Consider the following 22,206-nt stretch of genomic DNA (forward strand, 5'->3'; position numbering starts at 1 on the left):
CAGGCCCAAGTCGCTGTCAAGCACCTAGAGGCAGACATTACTGCCTCACTTTACAGTTAAGGCAGAGATGGTGGTCCTGGTGCTGCCCGTACGTGGGCCATTGGTCCTGGAAGGCAGGTCTTACCTACTTCCACTTTGCCCAGGCAGCCCCCAGTGACGTAGCAGGGGCCCATGGATTCTGACCAAAATGCCCAGGGGCCATGATTTCTCCATCCTCGTCGGGCCCAGGGCCTTCTTGGGGAGATCCAGCCCATGGGGTGGACAGTGGATCTGGGGCCCTCTGACTCAGCTATCTCTGAGAGCTGACTCTGGCTCTCTCTTGCTCTCTCCTCACCAGCCCTGCCCAGGCAGGAGCTTCTGGCCCCAGGGGCAACTTCCTCACCTGGTCTCATTTCTGGTTTCTACAGATCAAAGCGTCCCATTCCCATCTCCACGACAGCACCTCCAGTCCAGACCCCTCTGCCGGTGATCCCTCACCAGAAGGTAGGTGCTGACTGTGGCGGCGGGGTCCACTCAGCCCTGGTTCCTGGAGTGCTGGCCCTGGCCAGCCTGCCTGGTCTTTGGCTGGCCCAACTGGGATGAGGCCGTGGGATCAGCCCTGCCCCATCCCTGCCCCTGCTGCAGCTGACCCTGGGGAAGTGAGGCAGCCCCTTGGGAGAGACTTTCAAGCCCCTGTTGAACACTGGATGTGGGAATGAATGCCTGCCTGGGTGCAAGCCACCTCCGCTATGCCTCGTGGCTGGGCTGATAGGAAGCCAGCTTGGGCAGCAGTGTTCCCAGGAGAGGGGTCACCCTCCTGGCCAGGCAGGGGACGAGCGTCCAGGCTCTGACCTTCATTTGCCAAGGGGGCCACCGCTGGGTGACTGTGGCTGAGGCCCAGCTTGACGAGGACCTCCAGGTGTGGAGGGGCCTGCTGGCCTCACCCAGATCTCTCCCTCTGGTTTCCACTTCCCCACCTGCCCCTCCCAAGTGCATTCCCCTGTAGCCCTTAGGACGTGCTGGCAATGGCAGGCACAGGGGAGAAGGGAGGCCAAGCCCTGGCTCCAGACCTCACCACTGCCTAGGCCCTTCCCAAGGCCCCGCCAAGCAGCTCAACCCCCGAGGGCTCCCTGCTCAACTTCTCCCCCTATGTGAACTGATAGTGACCCCACCTGTCCAATGGGGCAGATTGGGCAGGGCAGTGGGGAGAGGGGAGAAAAAGAGGCTGACAGGGGTGGGGTAGGTCACAGACTGGGGAAGTGGGTGGAGGGCTGCTTGGGAGATGCTTGCAGAGGTAGACTGAGGGGCCCAAATGTGAGCTACCCAATTCCTCAGCTTCCCTCCTCACCTCCCCACCACCTGCCCACAACCAGCCCAGGAACTTCATCTCACTGGCAGTGTGGGGTCAGTGGAGCAGGAGGCTGGGCTGTGCCCACTGGGCACCCACTCTCAGGGGCAGGGGGAACAGACACAGAACGGGCCATCCCCTGACCCCTACACCCACTTCCTCGGGCCCTGGGGGCAGGAAGCTTGGCTTGGCTTCCATGCAGGGCTTGGCACTCTGCCCAGCTGGATGCCAGCCTCACGCCAGGCCAGGAGCCATGTGCCTGCCTGCTCCTCCACCAGTGTCCTCCCCTCCAAGTGCTGCGCCCAGGCGCTCTGGGCTTCAGGCTGCGGGGCTCGCGCTAACACATCTGTTTCAGGTCCACGCAGGAGCGCTGGGACGCGTGTGGCCTCTAACCGCTCTCTTCTCTCTCCCCTGCATGGCCTGCCCTGTGCCAGGACCCCGCTCTGGACACGAACGGCAGCCTGGTGGCACCCAGCCCCAGCCCTGAGGCGAGGGCCAGCCCAGGCACCCCAGGCACCCCGGAGCTCAGGCCCACCTTTAGCCCTGCCTTCTCCCGGCCCTCCGCCTTCTCCTCACTCGCCGAGGCCTCTGACCCTGGCCCTCCGCGGGCCAGCCTGAGGGCCAAGACCAGCCCAGAGGGGGCCCGGGACCTACTCGGCCCAAAAGCCCTGCCGGGCTCGAGCCAGCCGAGGCAATATAACAACCCCATTGGCCTGTACTCGGCAGAGACCCTGAGGGAGATGGCTCAGATGTACCAGATGAGCCTCCGAGGGAAGGCCTCGGGTGTCGGACTCCCAGGAGGGTAGGTAACGGACATACAGCTCTCCACAGGTGGCCTGGGCCACCTGGGTCCTCGGTGCTCGGCAGAGACCTGGTCAGGTGGTCAGAGCGAGGCACTGGCCCCAATCCAGCCAGCCCCGAGCCCATGAGGTCAGCAGTGATCCTGCGGCATTTGCCATGAGCCGGGCATGCTAGCGATTTATACAACCAACCACGCTGGGGTGACATGTCGGATTTTGCAGAGGAGGAAACTGAGGCTCAGAGAAGGTTAAGTCACAGTCCGTTTGTCCAGCTACCATGTGGCCGAGCCAGTCCTGAATTCAGGAGATTCTGACTTCCAACACTTTTTCACTAGGCCACTCCCCAGAACAGGACAGCACAGCCTGCAGCCTTCAAGAGCTATGCACAGGTCCCCACCCCTCTGGGAGCTCGGAGGCAGGAGCAGGGGAGCGTTCGAGAGGTGGAAAAGCGAGTTATCTGGGACTAGGAATAGTCTGGGAAGCTGCCTGGAGGAGGGAGCCCTTGAATTGTATATGGAGAGACTCTTTGGCAGTGGCGTGCAGGGAGCGGGTTTGCAGGAGTGACCTTGGCCAGGGTGGGGTGGCGAGGAAGCAGGACCCCAAGGAGAAAGGGGCTGTGCAGGAGAACAGCAGCCTCACCCCTAAGGTCTAGCTGGCGGGACTCTGGGAGCACAGCAGGTAAAAGGACATGGGACTGGGGCACTGTAGGGGGGAGGCAAAGGAACGGAGTCCCCACACTGGGCCTGTGTTAGCTCTGAGCCCTTCACGCTTGTTCTCTCACCCTAACTTCTACTCCCGCCCTGTGCAATTGGCATAGCCCTCTCCAGGCAGGGCAGGCTGAGTCAAGGCAGTAGAGCCTAGTGGTTCAGGGTTCCTCCTCCGAATCATGGAGGAATCACACTGTCCATGTCTCAGGGTTATTGGGAGGATAAAGGGCCCAACACTTGTAAAGCTCTGAGCTTTGTCTGTCACCCACTCACTGCATGACACCTGGTATCATCACTGCCTGGAGCCACCCAGAAGAGTCACAGTAGGAATCCGGTCAGTCTGGCCCAAGCCCATGCCCTTGCCTTTGCCCTTGCAGCAGAAGGCACCTGTGCCCCATCAGGTCACTGCTCCCTGTGGCCCTCAGCTTCCCCACCCCCCCAGCTCTTTCTAGAATCCTCAGTGAAGCTGATTTCTGGCACCACATGGCTTGCTTCCCTTACCCAAGGTGACAGAGCCATATATGCCCCCAGGGTTCCCCAGCAAAGGACTTTTGCCAGAAAACTCAGGGAATAGTAGAACAGAGATGACCTCCTTGTCCCGCATTTGTTGGGCTGGTAGGTCTTCCCGGTCCTTTTCAGGAACTGGCCTCAGGCAGAGAGGTCAGCCTCTGGTGGCCTGGGACTCCCAGGAGACCCACCTGCAATGATGATAATGTCTCCCCATACTGACCATGCACTCTGGCTATGGACCAGCTAACAGTCCACATGCCTTATCTCTCAGCAACACTCTCTAAAACAACTCTCTCTGCAACTCCAGAGGTGGGCATGATTTTCCCCATTTTATAGCTGGAAAATAGACGCTCAGAGAGAGCAAGTAATTTGCCCAAGGTCACACAGCTAGTAAGTGGCAGACAGAACTGGCATGCAGGTCTGCCTGACTCCACTTTGCATTGAGACAGGGACTTGCTGCCTGCTCAGGGAAGTGAGGGGCCAGGCCCACCTCTGCTTCCCATAGTGCCTAAGGTACTCTGCTGTCGGTGCAGGGGCTGCCCAGACCCTGATGAATGTGTAAATTATTTCTTGGTGCTCAGAGCAGCAGAGTCTGACGTTTCCTCCAAGGGATGGTGGGCTAGGGGAGGATGTGCAGTGGGTGCTTCATCCAAAGTAAAAGCTGATGCTGCTGTCTCAGGCAATGCCGGCAGGAAGGGCTGGAGCCTCTGACCTGGGCTGGCCTAGGGCAACCTCTGCTGGGCTGAGGCCACCACCTATGCTAAGTGGGTCAGCAACAGGGTCAGCAAGGGCTAATCCCCGTGCTTATCCATGGCACACTTCTCCCATGCTGAGCACCTTAGACTCATGACCCGTTCAGTCTGCACAACCCACCTGCGGGGTAGGCACTACCATCTCAAGAATTAGAATTAGGAAACAGGCTGGGACGGGTGGGTAATTTGCCCGGAGTCACAGTGCTAGGAAGAGGCAGGGTCACAACTTGAACTCTGTCCTGTCTGGCTCCAAAAAGAAGCCCCTTCCGCTACTCTCTCCTCTGGGCAACTTGCAGTGCAATTCTTTGGCACCTCGTATCCTCTTGGAAGGAGGAGAGAGAAACAGATGTGGTGCAAGGGCAGACGGGCATAGGCATCCCAGCAGCCCCCTTCTTCTCCTCCCTTCTGAGGCTGGCACTGAAGGGCAGTGCCCCTCAGGCCACTCAGTGCAAGGGCCCCTGGGCAGGTCTTACATCTTTGGCTCATCTTCCCCAAGACCCAGGCACTGGCTCCTCTCAGATGTGTCTGCTGCCACCATCCCGGCCCCAGGTCCTGGGTGGGAGAAGCTGAGCAGGAGGCAGGAATAAATGTCAAAGAAGGAGCAGGCTGCCAAGGGAGGGCAGAGGCAGCCCCCACCCCGCCAGGCCAACACTGCCCTCTGCAGGGGGCCCTGGGCTGGTCAGGGCAAGAGATGACCCTGCAGCTGTCAGCACTGGCCAAAAATGGAGAAGGAATGGAGCTCCGTGCTGGCCCTTTCCTAATATAGCTCCACTTGCAGCTATTTTGAGCCTGGGAGGATAGAGGGAATTTTATCAGTTCTGAGGCAGTGGCGGGCCTGGGGCAGAGCAGGGCCACTGTGCTGCTCCCTGGGACCGGGGACCACTGACTTGAGCCTGGCTTCCCAGGGTTTGGCTGCAAATGACCAGGGCCAGGCTGGCCGGGGCCCAAGCTCCCCCAGCTACAGCCCACACTGGGCAGATTCAAGAAGGTGGCAGAGTTTGGGGACAGAGCCCCCCACCTTCCACACTGTCTCCCTCACAGGCCCCCGACAGGGCTGCTGGCCACAGGGTCTGCCACTGCAGGGAATTTGCATTTAAAGAAACACAGGACAGACACTGCTTTCCCTACAGAGACCATGCTCTGGGAGGCTCACTCTCAGGTCAGAGTGAGAGGAAGGGGCCTCTCACTGTGCTGCCTCGGCTGTTGAGCTCACACTTCTCCCTGCGCCTGCTCGCTCCTCCATCCTGCCTCATTGCTGGCCCAAGGGGCCTTTAGGAGTGGCCCCTGGTGACTGTGCACCCCACTCCCCTATACCCCAAGAGGAGCAGCCAGAGCTGCCTGCGTCTCTTCTGGGAGGGAGAGGAGGTCAGGTTTGGGGGGGCATAGGAAACCCCGCGCACACCCTGCCTCCTTACCACTGCAATGCCTGCTCAGGACAGAATTCCAGAGCTGCCCCCACAAAACAGACTCTTAGTCCGGAGCTGCTGACAGGCAGGGAGGCCCCTGGGCCTCAGCCTTTTCCATAGCAGCCACAGCTGGTCCTGTCTCCACCCCTAGCTTCCACTCTGGGGTCTATAGCCAGGTTTGTATGTGGGGGATTCATGTATGCGGTACGAGTGCCCCTGAAGATAGACAAGAAAACCCTTCTTCTGGCAAAGCAGAGGGCACTGGGGACCCCTCAAGAGGGAAACATTGCTGTGTCAGTCTCTGAACCAAACCGAGGGTCCCAGTAGCTGTGATTCCCGGCTCTGAGTTCTCCCTCCTCACTCCTTGCTCTCCTCACCCATTGCGGTTTGGGCTGGTTCTGCCTCCACAATGACCAGGCTGATGATGGCCCCGGCGCTCAAACTGCCCCTGGTGGAGCCTCTCTCTGACCACCCTGTCTTCTTTGCCCTTTTCCTCCCCAGGTGGTAGTCAACTCTCCAGCCAAGTTAGTATCAAAGGACAGCATGTGTGTGCGCTTGCGTGCCAGCCCCAGCATGTGTCTGCGTGTGTCTGGCGTGGATAGAGTGTGCCTGCTGGCATGTGTACATGTATGTGCATATGTATGAGTGGGGTACACTTGTACCCCTGGGTGAGCCTGCATGTGTGAAGCTGGAGTAGAAGCATTTGGGGGTGGGAGTGGGGGCTCCATCCGATGGTTCTAATTTCATTCCCAATTTCCTGCTGCAGCAGCTGCTTAAGATGTGCCTGGGGTTGGTGACGGTGGCGGGCGCAGGGGGAGGGGGACACAGGCTGTGCTGCTGCTGGGCCTGTGTGAGCCTGAAGACCTTTCTGTCCTGGCGACCCCTCAGAAGGGCTGCACTGGATCTTGTCTGCCCGGGGAGCGCACCTATCCATTGGAGGGAAGAGCCTCCTGTGGGTAGAGGATGGCCAGCTACTCAGCAAACTGGACTTGAGGGGGCCTGGGCAGCTGGAGCCCTGCTCTGAGGAAGAAGCACATTCCCTGAAGCGTCTGGAAGATCAGAGCCCTGGGCCACCAAGGGGGTGGCCTGCAGGAAGAGCCCCTTCACGGAGAAACCTTGCTCAGAATCCCTGCGGGTGCCAGTGGAGCCGCTTTTCACCTTTGGGGCATTCTGGACTCAGCTTGGGCTGCTGCTCCCGACCCCTACCCCCAGCCCCATGCCTGCGCTTCCCCTGCTGTGTGTAGTGGGAGATCTCTCTGTGCCTGGCAGCCCCTGCAGACCCTGGGAGGGAGCTCAGGCTGAGCCAGGCACTGCAGGGGAGCTGGGAAAGCCAAGATGGGCAAGGAAACCCTTCTATGGCCAGGAGTGGTGGCTCATGCCTGTAATCCCAACACTGTGAGATGCCAAGGCAGAAGGATCAGCTTGAGGTCAGGAGTTCAAGACCAACCTGGGCAACATCGTGAGACTCTGTCTTTACAGAAAAAAAAAAAATAGTGGCATATGCCTGTGGTCCTAGCTACCTCAGGAGGCTGAGGTGAGAGGATCACTTGAGCCCAAGAGGTTGAGACTGGAGTGAGTGGAGATCACACCACTGCACTCCACCATGGGCGACAAAGCGAGACCCTGTATCAAAAAAAAAAAAAAAGAAAGAAAAAAGAAAACCTTCTGCTGCACTGGGCTTTGGGGGAGGGTGCCAAGGATTTTCTTGAATACACCCAGACCACCCACCATCTGGAGACTTGTGTAGCCTATGGGGGTTCAGGGCCTCGGCTCTGGGAGATCTCTCTCGACACCCACCGCGCCCAGCCCTTGCCTTGGCCACCCATGTAACCGCCACCTGTTGCCCTTTTCTCCTCCCTCTCCCTGCCCGTACTCCCGCACCCCTCCCCCAGCGCCGACTACCAGGAACGCTTCAACCCCAGTGCCCTGAAGGACTCGGCCCTGTCCACCCACAAGCCCATCGAGGTGAAGGGGCTGGGCGGCAAGGCCACCATCATCCATGCGCAGTACAACACGCCCATCAGCATGTATTCCCAGGATGCCATCATGGATGCCATCGCTGGGCAGGCCCAAGCCCAAGGCAGTGACTTCAGTGGGTAAGCGCCTCCCTCCTCCACCGCCACTCAGTGCCTCCAGAGCCCGAGGGGTATGGGCCATTGGGCACCATCGGGACCAGCTTTCTTCCCTCACGTTGGACCTCCTGGAGGCATGGCCCTTGGAGGGGAGCCAGCCTTCACCAGGGCCTTCTGGAACGTGGGTATCCTCTCTTCAGACCCTCTCCATGGTCAGCTTTAGGAGAAGGGTGGAGAAATGCAGAAAATGGTGGCTCCTCAAAGTGCTTTTCACAGCCTCTGCATTTTCCCAGGCTCTATGAGGAGGCTGGAAGAAGAGACTTCTACAGTCCTCTTAACAAGGGGACCATTCTGGAGGCCCCCAGGCCTCTCACAGCGAAGCTGTCCTTTAAGGAGGGGGAAGTTACCAGGTTCTTCCAGCAATGAGAATTGATTCAAATACACTGGCTGGGTTTCTGGTTTGGGAAGGGGTCTGCGACCAACCATCCACACTACTGCTGGCAATCAGTCCCACAGATGGGAGCAATCCCCTTCTTTTTGCCCTAGGAAGCCCGGCCTCAAGGCAGTGGCATTTAAGACATCCTTGGTTCCTGGAATTCACCCATTAGCTATGGCTGGGGAATTTGAGGGTTGGTAAAGAAAGAGTTGGCTGAAAATCATTTGTGGATGAAAAATGCTAGCAATGCAAACATTCATGCAGACAGACCTCTCTCTGCGTGTCTCTGTGTCTCCCTCTCTCTGTATGTCTCTTTCTGTCTTCCTCCTTGTTGCTTTTTCTCTGTCTCTCCCTCCCCCGACCCTCGTGTGTGTGTGTGTGTGTGTGTGTGTGTGTGTGTATGTGTCTGTCTATCTGTTGTTTCTTTTTTACACACATACACATAATTCCTCACTGTTTTCTACTTGGGAATACCACTGTGTTGGCTGATTATCAGTCTCGGCAACATCTTATCCCTGGGTCAGGATCCCCTAGCAATTCAAGGCAAAAAGTCTTGAAATGACAGTGATGCTTTTTTCCAAAGCCAGAAAAACCGATGTAATAAGAGGGATGGAGGGATTAAAAAGTCCCAGAGAACCCAGTTGCACTTGGCCTTTCCAGACCCCAGCCCTTGTGGCCATGATATGCATGCAGGTTATAAAGGGCAGGCTCCCCAGCCCCAAGGGTGGAACAGTGTGGGCTCTCTGGGCTCTGCTGGAACTGAGGAGCCTGGGGCCCTTTTGGAGATGCAGTACTTCCTCTAGGCCACCAGGGAGCAGAGGTCGCCTGTCCTGGAGTTTCAAGTCAAACTCCCAAGGCTCAGGGCTGCTGCTCTTCGCCTAATTCTGGGCAAGGTTGATTGAATTCCATCATTCAAAGCAGAAAATATGACCATGCAAGTTTACAAACACAAGCATTAGCTCATGCGTACCCAGAAAAACAAGGCTGCCTAAGCCCAAGAGCTAACAGGGATTTCCTGTTAACATTTCTTTGTCACGTGTGTCCTTGGTGTGCTCTTAAAAGTAGTAGCAATGGCCAAAGGGAAGTTCAATGGAGAATAATGAAAGAAATGCTCTTCACTAACTTTCTGTTTTCTGCACGTTGGGAAGACTGCTATCATTTGGTCTCACCACTAGGGCACCCATCAGTTTTGGAATTGATGCACTGTTGATTAATCGAGACTTCACGAAGGACGTTTCCCATCTCCCTCCTGTCCCCTCCCATCCCCTCCCTATTCCTCCCCTGGTATGCCTGGAAAGGGTCCTCTTCTCCTCTTCCTTTTAACGCAGCCACGCTGAGCTGACCATGCTGTGGTGCCAGTGAGTAACCCTCTTGGCCATAACGTGCTCCCATTTCTGCTGTTAATTTCCGTGGTTCCTTCCTCAATGACCGTGTTTTTTCTCTTTTTCTTCCTCCTTCACCCACCCCATTCCCATAACTCGTTTCTGACCCTAACCCGGCTCTCTTGTGTGCGCTGCCCCTCTGCTATCCCATGATGGACGCGCACTCACGGCTGGGTTTTCCTCTGCTTGGCAGGGCGTCACCGCTGGCGTAAGTAGACCCTGCAGTGTCTGTCCAGTCATCCGTCTGTCTGGTTGTGGGATGGTGTGTGTGGGTTTGGTGGGATGTGTCTGAGGACCAGTGGTCAGCCCACGTGCTCTGTCCACGCTCCTCCTCACACCCACCTGTCAGCCAAACGACATCCCTTGCAGCCTTTACAGGCAAGTACTTGTCTCTTGGGGTTTGTCCAAATAATGTCACTGTGGTCACAGAAATCACAGAGTAGTGACACTCATGCTGCAGGCCCAGGCTGGGGGTGCATACCTGTGTTCTTCTTGCCGTGCTTTGGGGTAGCTCCCCCCGCCTTTCCTATCTGCACTGGAACAGTGTAGACCCAGACATTAGAATGCACACTGGGCCATTATTCAGGGCTAGAAGGTGACAAGGTAACCTCTTGGAGGCCACTCCCCAGAATCCTCATGGGAAGTGTATCTGCAGGAGCCAGTGCCTGCCATGACCACCCATGGGAGGGGAAAGATGAATCAGACTGGGGGCTGCACACAGTGAAGCAAATGCAGCGGTGACCTGATGTTGCGGTGACTGTGGAGTGTTTTCTGTGGCAAGAAGAACAAGCTGAAAGTGGGTCCAGAGAGTGGACTCAGGCCAAGGGCCAAGGACTGCAGGACCTGTTCCATCTTCCCTGCATATATTCTCCCTGAGCCTTGGTGTCATGAAAGGCACAGCAGTTTCCTTATCTGACTCCCAGTCTTGGTCACAGCAGCAACAAGAGTCCCTGGTCTTTGCACGGGGTTGTGGGAAATGAAGCCAGAAATGCTTTCTTGAACCCTTGGAGCCAAGAAAGGCACAGGGGAGCTCCTCCTGGGCACATTCCAGGGAAACAGCAGCAAACACCTTCCACCTGCTCTCTGGATTGCAAAGCTCTGTAGAGAGGCTCAAGGGCCTTGCATCCACACCTTCCCTCACCCACTGCACAGTTCACACTCCCTCCTTCCCTCCCCTCCCAGTGGGTCAGGAGCCAGGACCAGGGAGACCTGGTTGTGCCTTCCTGTTGCCCATCTCACCCAGACCTTAGGAACGCCTGGGACTCCTCCCTATGCCAGAAATGGCCTGTCCCAGCAACAGCAAGATCCCACCCTCTCCTTTGCTCCCTGGGCAGCTGCAGGCTCCTCCCTGGCCGGACCCTAGAAGCCTCTGCTGGTCTTTCCCAACCGATCCCAACCACAGGCTGCCAGTACCTATAGCTCTCTGGGCCAGGGCAGGGCCTTCAGCGAAGCCAGGGCAGCTCCACCCAACCTCGATCACCTTTCCCCACCTCTGCTCTTGTAGCCCACCCTGAGCCAGACACAGGGACCAGTCCTGGGACACAAGGTCAGTTCCCTGTCACACTCCTTGCAGGGAGGGTATAAGACATGGACAATGGGGAGTTTCCTCTCCCAGCCAGCCAGCCCTCTGGGGAAAAGGGAGAGGCAGGCAGAAGAGTACTGGACAGGGCATCTTTCCAGGCATAGGTCCAGGGCCTCCCACTGGGCAGAAGTAGCCTTCCTGAGCCCTATGACTGCAGGGAGCCTAATGGAAAGGACACAGGGCTAGCAGCCAGGAAACCTAGGTTCTCACCCAATGGGGCCCTTATCTGCTGTAACCTGGAGCTAGTTGGCTGGCCTCTCTGGACCTCAGCTTCAGCATCTGTACGAGGAGAGGGCTGGGCCAGCAGTCTGTTACTGTTGTGGGCTTCACCTGAGCCCTCCCAGGCCTCTGAGAAGGTGGGCTGGGCGGCTTGGTCCTCTGGTCCCCCGGCCAGGGTGAGTGGGCTGTAAGGCTTTTGACCATGGCCTGCACTGCAGTCTGATTCAGGCTGGGAGGCACTGGACCCGAGGGGCTCTAGGGTCCCTTCTGGCTCTGATGTAGGATTTGTTTGTTCAGCCAAGAGTTTTGTGCACCTATCATGTGCCAGACCCTGGGAGCCTAAGGGAAGGTCACCTGGTCCTCCACAAAGGGCTGCGCTTCTCTGGGACAGAGGACCAGTGGCTTCCATGCAGCCCCACTCCCAACTTCCCCAGGCCAGAAATCCCCTGTCCCTACAGGCCATGCCAGGGCTGTGCCTTGCTGCCTTGTTTCTTACCACTTTCCAGCAGAGTCAGCCTACTCACACTGAGCCCATGGCCCCCAGTCCTTTTCCAGGGCAGTGACAGCATTGGCAGCTCCTTGTTTGGATCCAAAAGTGTGAGGAGGGCAGGAGATGGATCCTGAGGAATCCTCTGTGTCCCCCAGTTGGCCTCTCTCCAGCCAGCCCCAAACTCACGGCCTGCTCACGGAGGTCAAAGAAGACCTGTTCTGTTTCCTCCCTCTGTAAAGGGAATCTAGGGGTGGAAATGTCTCCGGCCTAGGCCTGGAGTTAGCACTGGGGAAGGGCAGACCTGAGGGATCTGAGCCTCCTGTCTCTCATGAGGGAGGGGAGTCACTGCTTCACTGCGACCAATCTGAGCACCGAGAACCCAGGTCATGCCCATATCTCAGGTTCTCAGACAGCAATGGATAAAGGCAAGGTGGGGACAGAACGATAGGGGCCACCAATGGGCATGGAGCAGGGACCCAGCAGGGTGGGAACTGGGCTCCAGCCTAGCCCTCGCCCACGGCCTCTCTCTGCATTACAGGAGCCTCCCTATTAAGGACCTTGCCGTAGACAGCGCCTCTCCCGTCTACCAGGCTGTGATTAAGAGCCAGAACAAGCCAGAAGATGAGGCTGACGAGTGGGCACGCCGTTCCTCCAACCTGCAGTCTCGCTCCTTCCGCATCCTGGCCCAGATGACGGGGACAGAATTCAGTGAGTGCAGGCTCTCAGGGTGGCTGCAGAGGAGGGAGATGCTGAGGGGCCACCAGGGACCTGGGCCCAGCACTGCAGAAGCCAGGGAGTCCTGCTACCTGCCCTTGAAGGTGGGCCAGGCTTGATGGTTTGTCAGTGGCTGGCAGGGCTCCTTCTGGGCCTCTCAGGCAGGCTGTCCGGTGACAGCAGCCTTCTGCTCCAATGCCAACTCCAGCAGTGGGCAGCAGGCTTGGTGTGCAACTTCCGGGCGAGATGATTGCCCAGGGCTGGGATGAGGCCCTCTCAGGCTACCCCCTGACTCTTTCCCAATGTCCTCTGGGGCCTCTGCCCAGCACACAGTGGACAGGCAAGGGGGCAGTCACCGTGTGGGGCCTGGCTGAATCCTGGGGACTCAGTGCCCACAGAGCCCCAGCAGCTTTCCTTGCTGTGTCTCCCGTGAGTCCCCTGACCAGCTCCTTTCTACCAACAGTGCAAGACCCTGATGAAGAAGCTCTGCGAAGGTCAAGGTAAGTGCCTGGACTCAGGCTCTGTGGCCTTGCCCTCTAGCCCCGTCCCTCCCCGGGCAGCCCCCAGGTCACATCACTCATGGAAGGGACCTCTCAAGTTCATGGATTTGGAAAGCCTGGCCTGCAAAGGGCTCCAGCTGACACTAGCTTGAGGCAGCATCGTGAGTCAGTGAGGTGGGCACCTGGACCCGAGTCTCTGTCCTCCAGGCCCAGGCTACAAGAGCGAAGGCTCTGGGCTCTCCCAGCTTCATCCCTGGGCAGGGGGCAGGGCTGCTTTGGCCTTTGCTGGGCTGTTGAGAATGAGGGCAACTTTCCCTGTGAGGACACCCGGCTGGCCAACTTGCCCACCCACTCATCTCAGGGCCTGTCCCCCTATGATTCCGAAGGCTGGGCACTGAGAAACAGGCACACAGGGGGCTGTGCTGGACGTGAACGCCTGACCCCTGGACTCACCTGTCCAGACCCACATTGAGGTACCAGTTCTGTAAGTTGCTCAAAGCAAAATAGTTGCTGAAAAAAAAAGAACAAGCCCTGGACATGAGGATGGGTTTGTGCCAAGCTGGGGTCTTAGAGCATGGTTTCCCCATCAGTTGCAGGTCTGAGGCCACAGCCACCAACCTACCACTGTGGCCCGTCAGGTGCTCATAGCATGAGGTGGGCATGGGGGGGGGCATGCCATCCTGGAACTCACTGGAACCCGCTGGGGCCTTCCATGGTAAGGAGTAGGGCTCATTGTGATTGTATGTACACTTCCGGTAGCAAATATGTCATCTGCATGTTCTTCCCGGCACTGTCTGCCTTGGGCCAGTGCATCCTGTGGCAGCCTCTGTGCAAGGGGCTGGGGCTCAGAGGCACCCTCCCATCCTGGGCCAAGCTTTCTGTACTTGCTAACCAGCAGGCCCAACACTCAGTGGCCATGTGACCTGTGCAGAGTAGGACTCTGGAGCCAGCTTAGACTTGTGGATTTTATTTTTGAACCAACACTTTTGCCAACTCAAGTTGCTCCCACTTTTTGGCCAGGCATCCAAGCCTAAGGTGGGGTCCTCCCAGGCCTGCTAAGGATGGCATGCAGTCCCAATAACAGTTCTTAACCCTTCAGTGCCTGCAGGGCATCTAGAGAGTCCGCGATGAAGTGATGTTTGATTTAGCTCAAAAGTTAAGCTCCAGCTGCTTTAAGTGCCAGAGCTCTCAGCTCTCCCCTCCCGCTGTGCTCCGCTGTCCCTGCGTGCTGCTCCCATGCTTGTCTTGCCCTCCTCTTAGAAGCCACCCATGTAGCTGCTTCAGTGTGCAATGCAGATGTTCCCAAACATTTGATAAAAAAGTCTTTAAATCACACACCCCAGAGCAAGCGGCTTCAAAATCCCCCCGGGTTCCTTCCAGCAACAGGCCAGCAGGGGGCCTTTTTTCTCCCTCCTCTGAGACCCAGAGTCCTGCCTTCCTGGCTCCCTTCTGGTTCCTTAATGTTCTGCTTCCCTCCGATATGCAAGGCAGTCACGCTCAGCTTGTGCCTCATTAACCAGATGTCATTAGAACGGGAAAGAGTACCGTGGAAGTGCATTGCAGCAAACTTTTGTCTTTTCTTTCCCCTGGAATATTTGCAGGCTCTGCAAAGTTATTGAGTGAGGAGAGCACAAAGGCAGTGTTGAAGGTGGTCCCCAGGCCTCATCCTTGGCCTTCCCCTTCCCTCCTTCAAGGAGCATCTCTTGAAGTTTGTTCTGCCTGGTCTTGAGGGTAATTGAAGGGTGGGAGAGTAGTCCTTTCACCAGCGGCCTAACCCCATGAAAGTTTGGTTCAGCCTCAGCAAAAGGCAGCTTTCGGAGCCTCTCCCCCAGCTACGGCAGGGTTTCATGCTAGGGAAATCTGGGGAAGAGGGCCTGGGAAGTGGCTCCAGTTAGCTTCCTCCCTCAGTCCCAGGCAACTTCCCTCACCCCATCAGCACCTCTCTCTGGGGTCTCAGGCCCTGCAGTGGAGGCTCTGAAGCACCCAGCCAGCCTCTGCCCAGGTCTGGAGGGGCTCCTCTCCCTTCTTCTGACTTTAATTTCTGGAGAGTTATCCTCGTGGGCAGAGCCACCCATGTCACTGAATCCCAAGCAGTGATCCCATGGACCCAGAGGCAGGTGCAGTGGGTGTAGCAGTTCTAATCTGTCTGTGATTGAAGCCTAAAGCAGTGTGTGTGATCACTGGTCATGACTGGGGCCCCAGGCTCACCTACATCACTATCTGAGCAGAAGGGAACATGCCTTGTCCCACCCTGGTCCAGGCTGGTCAGGGGTCTTGCTCCTCAGAGGCCTGAGCCACACTTCTATCTGTCCCCACTCCCAAGTTCGAAGCTGCACCCCTAGACTCTCCTGGCCCATCTTGTTGGCTGAGAGCAGCCACCTACCTTCTCTTTCTCCTCCCAAATCCCAGCGGGGATTCTCAGGGTCTCTCTTGAAGGCTGAGTTTCCCCAGGAAGGCTTCCCTGTAAACTGCTTCCAAGTGTCTCACTCCAGCAGAGCCTGGGTTTGCCAATCCTGTGCATGGTGACACCTACACAGTCTTATGCCCATGCAAAGGTGCTTTCTCCTTCCTGGTGCTGTGTGGTGCTGTGTGGTGAGAAAGTTAGCGGGAATGTTGAGTGAGTAGTGTCAGGCATTCTGCACCAGGCAGGGGCTCTGGGACCTCGAGGTCAAGTGTGAATACACATGTCAAGAAGACTTTGCAAACTTTCCCTTCACCTCCATCACTGCTCTGCCTCCAAGGTCCACCCCCAGAGTCCCAGGGCAGCTCACAGCCCTCTTCTCCTCTCGGGTCCTGGCTCCTGATGGTATCTCTGTGTCTGGTAGCACGTAGCTTCCATCTGAGGCTCCAGTGCCAACCTGCTGGCTAGCCCAAGACAGAGTCTAATTTCCAGGGACTCTTTACAGGTGAGGTGGGGGAGGCCTGAACAGGCCAGGCATCAGCTATGAACTTCCCACCCTGGAAGGACCAGGCACCTTAGGAAACTGTCCAGGTTGCCTTGAACATCAGCCTTCTGCCTACTTCCACATGGGAACTACTCTAGTAGGTATAGGTGACGCTGTGGCTCCCCAGTTTCCATCGGAGGTAGCTGAAATAGTGCCTCCATCCCACAAACTGAGCCTCTAATCTCAGAGTCATCGCCACAGCTTCCTTCTGACTTTGGAAAGGCATTCCAGGGCCCTGATCACTCAAAAGGTCAGATCCACATTGGGCAGCCACATTGGGGATAGGGGTGGGGACAAGGCAGGGCTTGGATCTGCGAGGCATCTGGATCCCACTGCTGGGGGGAACTATCCAGGATGTAGCCCAGCATGTAACCCAGACATGCCCCTGATCCCTTACAAGTGCAGCCTCTGCGTTTCCCTGATGCCTGCCTGGGTAAAGAGCTCTGCATCTCCCCATCTTTCCAAGCGTTAGGAACAAAGCTGATCTTAGTGAAGAGTCCCTAGAGGAGCTGAAGGTGCATCACATAGCCCTTTCCATCCCAGATCATGCAAAAATCCTTCCATGCCCGTTTTCTATCATGCAGCCATTAAGCTTCTTCCAATAAGATGCCAGGGCTCACTGGCTCCCCCTCTTCCCTCCTGCAGCCTCTCAGATGCCCCCTTCCCTCCCTCTGCTGCGCAGTCTCTCAGTTTTGCCCCCCCTGCAGCCACCTCGCTTACACGCCGCACAGCATAGGGCCCTCCTGCCAATGGGTGCCCCCGCCAATGGGCCCCTTGTAAGAAAGCAATGAAAAAATTACCTCTCTTTTTTGGATTTTGAGTCCCTGGTGTTCTGCCACCCTAGCGAGTTTGAAAACCACAACTGGAGCACCAGGGATGTTGCCCCAGGTGCCGCTGCCTGAGCAGCCCCTGGGAGGTCGTCTTTCTTGCTCTTGCTCTCCTGTCTCTTTTCCTCTCTCCTGTGCCTTCCTCTCCTGGCTCCTTTCCTTGGCTAGCTGAGGATTTTTAAACAGCTTCAAGTAGAGCATGCTCACTAGATTGGACTCTCCAGGACTGTCCCTGTCCCTGTCACTAAGCACTAATGACAAACTATCACCCAGCCTCCACAGGCCTTGCTAGGACTTGACGATTTACAGGCAAACTGCCTGTGTCTGATCTTGTGCCCCTGTGTCCTCGGTAGTGTCTACGGGATGGTCAGGACTGTTTGTAGTGCTGTCAGCAGGACTCAAGGAGCCCCACCACATGGACTTTGCTCATGCCATCTCCACCCCTTTACCCCAACCTCAGATAGGCAGGTATGTGGCAAGGGAAGAAGACGCTGGCACTTAGATTGTGATTCTGCCCCTGAGTTTCTGTGTGGCTTTAGGTCATTCATGTGACCTCTCTGGGCTTCAGCTTCCTCTTAGTATAAGGAAAGTTCAGACTAGACTGGTGGTTTTCAAATATGTTATATGTTAGCAGTGGGTCCCTTTTGTCAAACAGTCTTAGACAGAGACCCAGTATGCAGGATTCAAGGGGTAGAGAGAGACAGAGACTGCCAGGTAAAGCAGGTGCAGAACCGAGGACCTCTGTGAGTGTGGGGACATGGGGGCCAGCCCCGATGACTGTTACTGTGCAGAAATAGAAGGCCAGCACTGCCACATCTTCTTTTCAAAGACTTAAAGTTGCTCTTCCTGATTTTTATATGCTAGCAATTCACTTTTTTTTTTTTTTTTTTTTTTTTGAGACAGAGTCTTGCTCTGTCTCCAAGGCTGGAGTGCAGTGGCGCGATCTCGGCTTACTGCAACCTCCACCACCCAGGCTCAAGCAATTCTCCTGCCTCAGCCTCCTGAGTAGCTGGGATTACAGGCATGTGACACCACGCCCGGCTAATTTTGTATTGTTAGTAGAGATGGGGTTTCACCATATTGGCCAGGCTGGTCTTGAACTCCTGACCTCAAGTGATCCACCAGCCTCGGTCTCCCAAAGTCCTGGGATTACAGGCGTGAGCCGCCGTGCCCGGCCAACTTCTTTTTTTTCTTTTTCTTTCTTTCTTTTTTTTTTTTTTTTTTTTTTGAGATGGAGTCTCACTCTGTCGCCCAGGCTGGAGTGCAGTGGTGCAATCTCAGTTCACTGCAACCTCCGCCTCCCGGGTTCAAGTGATTCTCCTGCCTCAGCCTCCCGAGTAGCTGGGACTACAAGCGCATGCCATCACACCTGGCTAACTTTTGTATTTTTAGTAGAGACGGGGTTTCACCATATTGGCCAGGCTAGTCTCAAACTCCTGACCTCGTGATCTGCCCACCTCAGCCTCCCAAAGTTCTGGGATTACAGGCATGAGCCACCACGCCCAGCCAACTTCTTAATTAAACTTTTTATTTTGAGATAATTGCAAATTCAGTGCAGTTATAAGAAATAATAGAGATCCCTAGTTCCCTTTACCCAGCTTCTCCCAATGGTAGCATCTTGCAAAATGAAAGCACAATATCACAACGAGGATACTGACACTGATACAGGCAAAACACAGAACTTCCCTTCACCCAGGATGCCCCATGCCGCCTTTTTATAGCCATACCCACTCCCCTCCAGCACCCACCCACCTCCTTAACCTCTGGCAACCACTAATCTGTGATCTGTCCTCCATTTCTATAATTTTGTCCTTTTCAAGAATGTTATATAAATGGAATCATACAGCATGGTACCATTTAAGATTGGCCATTTTTTAATCAGCATAATTCCTGGGGGTCACCCAAGTGGTTGAGTGTCCCAATAGTTCATCTATTCCCTTTTATTGCTAAGAAGCATCTCATAGTATGGACTCAGAAATTAATCTTTAAATTGAGTTGGAAGCACCGTACAGGTTAAACATACTGTGTTTGTGGCTGGATGGGGCCCTTTGGCCACCAGTGGGCACCTCTGGTCTGGAGGATGTGATCGGCCCTTCCAGCCTGGAAGGCCTGGATTCTGACGCCTGTGGCACTGGCCTTTCTCAGGTGCTCTCTTCCTCCATTCATTCCCACGTTTCTGACTGCTGCTTGCCTGCTCTGTACTGTGGCCTCAGCTGAGCAGGTGTGGCTTGAGCCCCAAGAGGCCCCACTGGTGGGAAGTGGCCAGAAGTCCTGGCCCTGTATCTGTGACAGTGACCTTGTGAGTATGTGTGGGTATGCACGCATGTGCCCAGGCTGTGCTCAGGCCTGGCGAGCAGGGGTGGGCAGGGGCTGTGTGCAAAATCTTCTCTCTGGGGACAGTGAGGCTTTTCGAGGCCAGGGCAGCACAGGGAAGGGGCAGGTCTGCCCACCAAGCCTCATCACGGGGGATAGGTGCTCCTTCTTCTTGATGCCCAGCTAGGGGACAGAGATCATGCGAGGTGCACCTGTCTGTTTGGTTCAATCCTGAGAGCTCACAGCCAAAGCAGCCCTGCCCAGCCCTCACTACATGGACCAGGGAGGCCCTCTTTGCTCAGTCTGCCCTCAGGGCCATTAGCCAGGTCCCTTCTCCACAGCCCCCAACTCACTCAAGGCAGGGACTTCAGTCCCTCCATCCTGGTCCCCAAGACTCTCGGTCTTCCCCTAACCCAGGCCTGACCTGGGTTACAATGTACCCCATGGATTGCATAGCTTCTCCAAGCCCGTTCCCTCCCTCCCATGCCCTCTGCCCCACCTGTTAGACAGGGGAATGGTGAACACATTCCCTAACCCCTTTCATTCTCCCTCTCTTCTCTCTCTTTCTGTCTCTGTCTCTGTTTCTCTCTCTCTCTCTCTCTCTCTCTCTCTGTGCCACAGGGAAAGGTTTGAAACGGAACGTAACAGCCCACGTTTTGCCAAATTGCGCAACTGGCACCATGGCCTTTCAGCCCAAATCCTTAATGTTAAAAGCTAAAAGGCTGCCTGGAATCCCCCCACCCCAACAGGCTGGACTCCCTCCATCCTTACCCCCACACAGATCTGGCATGTGAGCCCCACGGTGATGCTTGACAATGTATAACTCTGCTGGGGGCACCTCTGATGGCCAACCGCAGCATTTCTGTCCTCTGCCCACCCCAGAGCTGATGCTGGGGCCCAGCCCCCTGCAGCTCTGTACCCACCAAACCTCCCCAGGGCAACCCTCGCCACCCCCCAAATAGCCCGTAGCCCAATCCCCTGCCCTCTGCACAGGGCCTTAGCTGTAGACCAGAGAGGGCAGGAGGGGTTTGCTGGCATAACACCCCAGAACCAAGGGAAATGGATGGGCCGCTGCTCAGTTTCCCACCATCCTCAGCTCCTGGCCTCATCCCCTCCTAGAATGAGTCACCCGTAGATCAGGGTCTGGGGAAGAGGCTGATCCCTGGCGCTGCCCGGCTCCCTCGCTGCCCTCTGGAGCTCAGGGCAGCCCGGAATAGGGCTCTTTGAAGAGGAAGTAGAAGCCCCAGGGTAATGAGGCAGAGACCCCTCCTGGCAGTGGTGAGGTGGGGGCATGCACCCTCCTTTCTGTACCGTGTGTGCTGGCTCCATAGTTCTCTCTTCTGTACATATAAGCATGCTTGTTCTGAAATAAAGAAGATTTGAAGTGAACCACACCAAGCCCCAGTCATGCTGTGCCTGTGTGTGTCCCACCCAAGAGGGGCTGTGAGGGCATGATCTGGGACAGAGAGAGGACAGGCACCATCAGAAGAGGAGCAGGGGCTGTGTCCACCGGCCCCAGGACACAGCGCAGCTCTGGTCCTGCTGCTCTCCTGCCCCACAGGTTCCGAGCCCAGCTGCAACCCACGGCGGGAGGATGGCTGGTGGGAATCTGTGCTGAGGCCCATTGGGCAACCTTAGTCACCCACAGGACAGTGCATATGGGAATACTCGAATGCCCCCTGCCTCTCCTTCCACACCCTGCTGCAACCAGCAGACTGAGCCATTGTCCTGCCCCACCCCATCAGAAGGCACCCCGCAAGCTGTTCTCACAGGAAGGAGCTACTTATGCTCGATCCTGGTCCAGAGGCGAGAGAAGGGCTCCAGTGGGCACACCTGGGCTGAGAAGCAGTTCACAAGGGAACTCAGGGGGCCAGGGCTGGGGCTCAGGGGAAAAGAGATGGAAGGCAGCCCTGGCAGATTCTTGCTCAAGTGGCAGGAGGCAAGAGGGCTGGGAAGGCTTCCACCTGGGTCTTGCTCCCAGCTCCCACCCACCTGTGGCCTTGTCCTAGTCCTGGGCATTTAGGAAGGGCTAGGAAGGGCAGCAGCAGCCAAAAAGATCCCAGCCAGGCCTCAGGCTCATGTCCTGCTGAGCTGTAAGCCACTAGCTAGCACCCCATTCACCTGACCCAGGCCTGACCACTTAGAAAGTACCCCATGATGGCAAAGCTTCTCCAGGCCAATTCCATGTCCCTGATTGTGTGAAATCACAGGCTGAGGACATGAGAGTGGTGGCACTTACATTAGAAGCAGATGCTGAGGCCCAGCCCTCAAGGCTGTCCTGCCTTTTCTGTGGCTGGGCTAGCCAGAGCTCTGCGCCCATTCCTGCTGCCTGGGCAGAGGCTTTCCCTCTGCCTCCAGGAACCTTCGCAATCCCACCAGGAAGCGTTGGTGTTTGAGGCCGCTCTCTCCTGCCCATCCACCCTGAGATGCTCCCTAAAGCCCCCTGCCAACCTATTCTGGCCTCCCACCCCATCCTGCCTCCAGCAGTCTGATGCCCGGGCCAGGCAGCCTTCATCCCGCTGCCTTCATCTAGGCCTCCTGGAACACACTCATATTTGGCTGATGTTTTACAGAGGACTTGCAAGGCCCAAGGGTGGGTTGGGGGCAGGGGTCTGCCAGATAGAGAGAGGTCCTGGGCAATGGGTATCCTGAGGCTGGCAAAGCCTCAGCCAACCACTAAGAGTTGGCGGGCTCTTGGACCCCTGCTCCCAGACCCCAGCCTGTCGGAGCTCTCTTGGAGCCACCTAGTTGAAGCCCTGCCTTCCCACCTACCCCAGACCCCTTCATGTAGTGCCCTGGGGGGCCCCAGGCTGGGTTCCATGTAAACCCCTCAGTATAAGCAGGAGAGATGTTCTCATTCAGCATCCGGTGTCTGTGGGCATTTGTGGAGGTGCCTGACTACTATGGGTGCTAAAGGAATCGGAAAGGGCCGATGCGGCTGTGTTCCCAATGCAAGGTTGATCATGTATGGTCCAGAGACAGGGAGCATCCCTCCAAGTGGTGGATCAAAGAAGGCTTCCTGGAAGAAGAGGTCAGTGTATTTTATCATCAGGAATGGTTAGAATTTGGGTGGAAGCAGATACAAAAGGCTGGACAGATACTCTAAGCAGAACAAGCAGAGGTGCTGATGAGAAGTGGTGTCCCAGAACCCCAAGTTAATCATTTTAGTTGGAATGGAGAGAATGCAGAGGATGTCATGGTTAGTAGTGGTCTGCATCTAGACT

At 56.4% G+C, this 22,206-nt stretch overlaps 1 protein-coding gene across 12 annotated transcripts in view, besides 6 other annotated features; it reads left to right on the top strand.

Moving 5' to 3' along the window:
• The window catches only part of LDB3 (LIM domain binding 3), a 69,285-nt gene that overhangs the window by 12,887 nt on the left and 34,192 nt on the right, over nt 1-22,206 (top strand). For 3 of the 12 annotated variants that reach the window (NM_001368064.1, NM_007078.3, NM_001368065.1), the window contains exons 4-7: nt 408-483; nt 1,762-2,129; nt 12,222-12,391; nt 12,861-12,897. In NM_001368064.1, coding sequence (NP_001354993.1) covers nt 408-483; nt 1,762-2,129; nt 12,222-12,391; nt 12,861-12,897 — 651 coding nt within the window. Of the gene's footprint in view, nt 1-407; nt 484-1,761; nt 2,130-6,003; nt 6,027-7,394; nt 7,599-12,221; nt 12,392-12,860; nt 12,898-19,603; nt 20,380-22,206 lie in introns of those variants that run through there. The other 9 variants (NM_001368068.1, NM_001368067.1, NM_001368063.1 and 6 more) reach the window with 6 other exon arrangements.
• Nucleotides 2,234-2,735: an enhancer, noted in NCBI's record as "H3K4me1 hESC enhancer chr10:88441665-88442166 (GRCh37/hg19 assembly coordinates)". NCBI's record gives its function as "activates a minimal SCP1, AML or CMV promoter by ChIP-STARR-seq in naive and primed H9 embryonic stem cells {active_cell/tissue: H9 hESC(naive and primed)}" and the evidence as "EXISTENCE:reporter gene assay evidence [ECO:0000049][PMID:30033119]".
• Nucleotides 2,736-3,235: an enhancer, noted in NCBI's record as "H3K4me1 hESC enhancer chr10:88442167-88442666 (GRCh37/hg19 assembly coordinates)". NCBI's record gives its function as "activates a minimal SCP1, AML or CMV promoter by ChIP-STARR-seq in naive H9 embryonic stem cells {active_cell/tissue: H9 hESC(naive)}" and the evidence as "EXISTENCE:reporter gene assay evidence [ECO:0000049][PMID:30033119]".
• Nucleotides 4,398-9,895: an enhancer, noted in NCBI's record as "VISTA enhancer hs2143". NCBI's record gives its function as "enhancer in: somite[9/12] | heart[12/12]" and the evidence as "EXISTENCE:transgenic organism evidence [ECO:0001131][PMID:17130149]".
• Nucleotides 7,482-8,019: an enhancer, noted in NCBI's record as "H3K27ac-H3K4me1 hESC enhancer chr10:88446913-88447450 (GRCh37/hg19 assembly coordinates)". NCBI's record gives its function as "activates a minimal SCP1, AML or CMV promoter by ChIP-STARR-seq in naive H9 embryonic stem cells {active_cell/tissue: H9 hESC(naive)}" and the evidence as "EXISTENCE:reporter gene assay evidence [ECO:0000049][PMID:30033119]".
• Nucleotides 20,211-20,711: an enhancer, noted in NCBI's record as "H3K4me1 hESC enhancer chr10:88459642-88460142 (GRCh37/hg19 assembly coordinates)". NCBI's record gives its function as "activates a minimal SCP1, AML or CMV promoter by ChIP-STARR-seq in naive H9 embryonic stem cells {active_cell/tissue: H9 hESC(naive)}" and the evidence as "EXISTENCE:reporter gene assay evidence [ECO:0000049][PMID:30033119]".
• Nucleotides 20,712-21,212: an enhancer, noted in NCBI's record as "H3K4me1 hESC enhancer chr10:88460143-88460643 (GRCh37/hg19 assembly coordinates)". NCBI's record gives its function as "activates a minimal SCP1, AML or CMV promoter by ChIP-STARR-seq in naive H9 embryonic stem cells {active_cell/tissue: H9 hESC(naive)}" and the evidence as "EXISTENCE:reporter gene assay evidence [ECO:0000049][PMID:30033119]".

This window comes from Homo sapiens, chromosome 10, assembly GCF_000001405.40.
Source record: "Homo sapiens chromosome 10, GRCh38.p14 Primary Assembly".
NCBI lineage: Eukaryota > Metazoa > Chordata > Mammalia > Primates > Hominidae > Homo > Homo sapiens.